The 5,502-nt window shown below is 42.7% G+C and overlaps 1 long non-coding RNA gene across 1 annotated transcript; it reads left to right on the top strand.

The window, feature by feature from the left end:
- Nucleotides 1–919: 919 nt before the first annotated feature.
- LOC124901100 (uncharacterized) lies at nt 920–4,120 on the top strand. Its single transcript, XR_007058982.1, has 2 exons — nt 920–3,005; nt 3,990–4,120. It is a non-coding gene; the product is annotated as an uncharacterized LOC124901100 (long non-coding RNA).
- Nucleotides 4,121–5,502: the final 1,382 nt, after the last annotated feature.

Below are 5,502 nucleotides of genomic sequence, written 5' to 3'. Positions count from 1 at the left end.
GCACTGAGACTTGGCATGACCGTGGCCACCCCAGGACCCTGGCCACCTTCCAGAGTAGAAACGGTCAGAAACTTGGAACAAAACTCAACGTGGAAGAAATTAGAACGAAGGTTGTTGAGTGCCAGGGTCAGTTGAATCCTGGTTCTAAATATCATACGTAAACATGGCTGGGTGTGGAAATAGACACCTAAAGTGTCAGCGTTTTATACTGTTGACAGTTTTCTACTCAGTGGATCCTCTCTCTAAGGGATTATAGCTAGAGCCTTTTAACAAGATCAGTTCTCTCTCTGATTCCACAGGAAAGTAAATTTCTGTAGCCAGCAAATACACAATACAATGTTTTTTTTTATGGCTGAGAGACATCCTTTCAGAGATTTGCTGAGAAAGGGGATAAGAAGGCAGGTAAAGAAAGGAGACAAGTTCTATTGAAAGAAGTTTGAGATAAAGGTGAATTTGGAGCCTTGAATGCCACCTTTCATAGCATCAACCTTCTAGTACTTAGGCAGAATTATGAAGCTACAGCAAAGGGCAGTGCTTCTAGTGTACAGGGCTTGTATTAGTCCGTTCTCACACTGCTAATACAGACATACCAGAGACTGGGTAATTTATAAGGAAAAAGAGGTTTAATGCACTTATAGTTTCACATGGCTGGGGAGGCCTCACAATGATGGCAGAAGGTGAAGAAGGAGCAAAGGCACATCTTACATGGCTTCAGGCAAGAGAGCATGTGTGGGGGAACTCCCATTTATAAAACCATCAGATCTTGTGAAATGTATTCACGATCACAAGAACAACATGGGAAAAACCTGCCGCCATGATTCACTTACTTCCCACCAGGTCCTTCCCACAACATGTGGGGATGGATTATGGGAGCTACAATTCAAGATGAGATTTGGGTTGGGACATGGCCAAACCATATCAGGGCTGCTCTGTGGCATTGTTGGTGCATTATATACACACCCACCCAAGCACTCTTTCCTGAAGAAACACCATGTCCACCTGGGAGTACAGAAGTGAACAGGGCAGAATCCCTGATCTTGAAAAGCATTTAGTGTAAATATATAAACCAACAACCACAAGATGAACTAATAGATTATGATGCAAAAGGCACTGAAAACTTGCTCTGGGAGGAAAGAAGAGGGCATAGGGAGACTTCCTTTCCTGAGAAGGTGACTTTTCAGCTGAATTTGAAGGGTAAGTAGGAATCTTCCAGGTTAAAAAAGGGGGAGAAGAGAAGGTCCAGACCGAGGGAAGATTTTGTTCAAAGGCTCACCAGCAAATGCCTAAGGAGGAGTTAGGGAACCCGTGAGCAGCTTGGGATTCTGGAGGGAGGGGTGTTCATGGCGAGATGAAGCTGGGGAAATGGGCTGGGCCCTTACATGGCAACTCAAGAGTCCACACTCCATCCCTGAGTCACTGGGAGAGGCAACACAGGCTTCATCACGATAGGAGAGTAATCCCATTTCCTGCTTTGGGGCGACTTTGCTCTTAACATGCAGAGGAGCCAGAGGCGGGAGCTGGGAGAAGAGAGACTGTTAGGAGGCTGCTGAAATAGTCCAGGCGAGAGATCTTGAAGCCCTGAACGTCAATATGTGCGGCACGAAGAGGAAGAATCGAATCTGAGCCATTTGGTATTTGCAATGGAAAGGACCTCCTAACAGGAGGGGTGAGATGTGGGAGGAGGATTTCCAGGCTTTTCAGTTGGCTTGTGACACTACCCAAGACAGGAAGAGAGAGTGAAGTGTCGTTTTGGGCATGTTGTTTTGGTAAGGACGTGCCTGTGGGTCATCTAACTGGAGATGTCCAACAGGCAGGCAGAAATGTGGGCGTGGAATCTGGGAGAGAAAACTCTAATGGAATATTTTTCTTATGACACATTCCCGTTAAGCCTTCATTCCTCGGGTTTGGCTAAGGCCACCGTGGACAGATTGGTGGGGGAAGTGCTGTTCTGAGATCCTGGGTGTAGTCTTACAGTCCTAACAGCAAGGCAGCTTTCTTTCCCTGTCTCTGCGTGGGGAACAGAATTTGTGCAGGCTCAAGTGTGCCTGGCAAGAAGGCCAAACTGAAAACACCTTCCACAGCTCTGGGGCCTAACGTTGAATTTCCATCTTCAGCCGCACGTTTTCCAGGTGAGCTTCTCAAGCAGGATAAATTCCTGCAGAAGCACAGAAATCTCAGGAGTCCCAAGGTTCCTAGCAAATTAGAATCTTGAGGTAGGAGAGGAGCCAGGCCCCACCCCAGAAGCCCAGTAGGAACTGGCACCAAGAGAAAATCGACAATAAAAGCAATTGGTGATTTGTGCCATCAGAAGATAGGCTGGCCAGGACAGGTCAAGGAGAATGAGACAAGTTACAGCAAATTTTAATACAATTGCTCTGATTCTAGGTAATTTCAGGATAGCATAATAGAATTATTTTACACTTGAAGATACTTTGGGATGCATGAACATAAAGCCTCTGCCATTTGCACTGTTTCATTTACTGAACACCAATCCTATTAGTTTGCTCTATATTACAGTTATTATCCCCATTTTATGGATGCAGAAAGTGGAGGGCAGACAGGTTAAATGATCTCCCTCAAATCGCCTACCGGGTAAGTGGCATATCTGGGATTTGGAAGCAGCCTGTCTGACTCCAGAGGCTGCCCTCTTAGCCACAGGCTCCACCAGCACGTGTATGTGACTGACACATGTGGATGGCACTTTGTACCGCCAAAAGTACTCTCTTATATTTATGTCCTCCAAATAGACAGAAACAGGGCCAAGATGAAACCTTTAGCCCGAGATGGCTTTTTACAGTGTCCTCTGGGGCTGGAAGGTAGACCCAGTATCCGGTATCCTGCAGTACCTTCCAGGCATGAGCCTAAGAAACAACATCAGAGTGAAGCACACTGGCTTCTGCTTCACACAGGACATGCTTCATAAAGCCTGCGCTTCCTATAAGATCACACCTTCCACCTCAGCCCCTAGTCCTGGGACCAGAGCCACCAAGAGGACCTAAATCAAGGTGAATGAGGGAAGGTTGGTGGCCAGTTACATTTTGCACTATAAAACCCCAAACTTCCCTCTAGCAAATCCCTGTGTTGGTTTTGTATTTGCTTTCTTTTTGGCTTCTAAACTCCTTACAATAGACTCAATGTTCTATTATCATCATTAAGATAAAACAGCAGGTCTCAGTATGTACTGAATACTTTTTTAAAACATAACATCGGACCTACAAAAAAGTTGCTAAAACAGTGAAGAATTCCTGGACAATCTTTACCCAGATACCCCAAAAGTTAGCATTTTACTACATTTGCCTTATCTATCATCTATCTCCCTTTAAATTTTTTCTTTTACCATTTAAGAGTGAATTGGAGACCTGATGCCCTATTCCCTTAAATAGTTATGTACATTTCCTAAAAGCCTGCCTAAAAATTCTGCCTCTCAAAACCACAGTACAATTATCTAAATCACAATGTTAACATTGATGGAACACAATTATCTAGTCTATAATCCTTCCTCAGATTTTGCCAATTGTTCCTATAATGTCCTTTCTAGCCAAAGAAAACCCAGTTACGTGTTGCATTTGCTTGTCATGTCCACGGACATCTAGAATAGTTCCTGAATCTTTTTATTTCATGGCGTTGACATATTTGAAGTGAACAGCCCAGTTATCTTGTAGAATGCCCCTCAATTGGGTCTATCTTTCTTATGGTGAGATTCAGGTTATATGGGGTTTTTTTTTTTCCAGGATTTTTTCAGTTCTTCTCAATGCCTCATAGGAGGGACATGCTGTCAGTTAGACCCATTTAAAGTTGGTGTCTGTTAGGTTTCTCTACCGTACAGCTACTGTTTTATCCCTTGTGATTAATAAGTCTCTTGTGAGGAGATACTTTGAAACTGTGTAAATATCCTATGTGAATCATTCATTGATAATTCTTGATGACTCATATACTTATTATTATGGTTGCCAAATGGTGATATTCTAATTCTGTCATTCCTTCTACAGTTATTAATTGGCTTTCAACCATAAGGAAGAACTTTCTTGTATGCCTTACTTATTTATATCAGCATGGACTCATGAATTCTTATTCAGAAAACCTCAATACTTAATAAAAAAAGATATGTGTCATTAAAGCATCACTCATGTCTGTTGGAATTCTTTAATGTATGTATTTTGATACTCAATTGTCCCAAATGTTTGCCAGACACAATTATTTCATTTAATTCATTAGCGATCAAATTTAAATCATTCAATTCTCAAAACAACTCTATGAGGTGGGGATCCCTCTTGATGTTTCTGCCACACAGGAATTATCTCCTCTCCCCTGCCACACACCTTTTTTTTTTTTTTTTTTTTTTTTTTTGAGACTGAGTCTCCCTCTGTTGCCCAGACTGGAGTGCAGTGGTGCGATCTGGGCTCACTGCAACTTCCGCCTCCCAGGTTCAAGTGGTTCTCCTGCCTCAGCCACATGAGTAGCTGGGATTACGGATGTGCGCCACTACAGCTGGCTAATTTTTTCATATTTTTTACTAGAGATGGGGTTTCACCATGTTGGTTAGGCTGGCCTCAAACTCCTGACCTCAAGTGATCCACCTGCCTTGGCTTCCCAAAGTGTTGGGATTACAGGTGTGAGCTACCGCGCCCGGCACCTCCCTGCGCCATTTTAAAATGAGAAAGACTCAGACAGGATAAATAACCTGTCAGAAAAGCTATGATGAGAATTCAAAGGCCCACTCGAAATCCCATGATTTTTTCCAGAACACATTGCCCCTTTAAGATATTTTTCTTTTGCAGATGGGATACTTAAGCCTATATTCTTTTTTGCCACTTACTCAAATCTATTCAGGACAGAGGAGGTGAAGGAGAAACCGTGGCTTTGTCACTGACAGCCTGTATTTGTAGTGATTTCTGCTTTGGCCAAAAGCCTCCCTGACTCTAATCAGCACTAAAGTTAGGAAGGTGTGTCGATTTAGATCCTGTCAGAATCCCTGCGTGCTTGAAATAGTTTCTGGCAATTGGGTTACTGAAAATCTAATCTTTTAAAGTAAGTGAGTTCATTCCAGTATTTAAAGGAAAAGTTTGGTGAGGTCTTTCATCATATAGCTACCAATTTATGATCTACCTAAATATGGATTTTTCCATATTATGCTTATGTTAATCAAGACACAGTGAAGAAGCTTCTTATTCATACATCTGTGGCACAAGGAAAGTTGCTAACAACAGCATACACAGAACCCAGAAAAGCTTAATATTTAATAAAAAAAGAAATGTGTCTATTAAAGCATCAGTCATGTCTGGATTTGACCCTAAAATGAGTTTTGAGGGTCACCAGCCTCATAATCATCCCAAGTGTCATCAAAAACACAGAATATGGTCAAGGCCAGCACAGACAACATAGTGAGATCTCATCACACACACACACACACACACTGCAGAATTTGGGGCCTCATCCCATGTACACCAAGTCAGGATCTTTGGTTTCAGTAAGCTTCCCAGAGGACGCTAAAAGTCAGTCACT

Source organism: Homo sapiens, chromosome 5 (assembly GCF_000001405.40).
Source record: "Homo sapiens chromosome 5, GRCh38.p14 Primary Assembly".
NCBI lineage: Eukaryota > Metazoa > Chordata > Mammalia > Primates > Hominidae > Homo > Homo sapiens.
The sequence above is the reverse complement of the archived record's forward strand: the minus strand, read 5'-3'. Positions and strand labels throughout refer to the sequence as shown.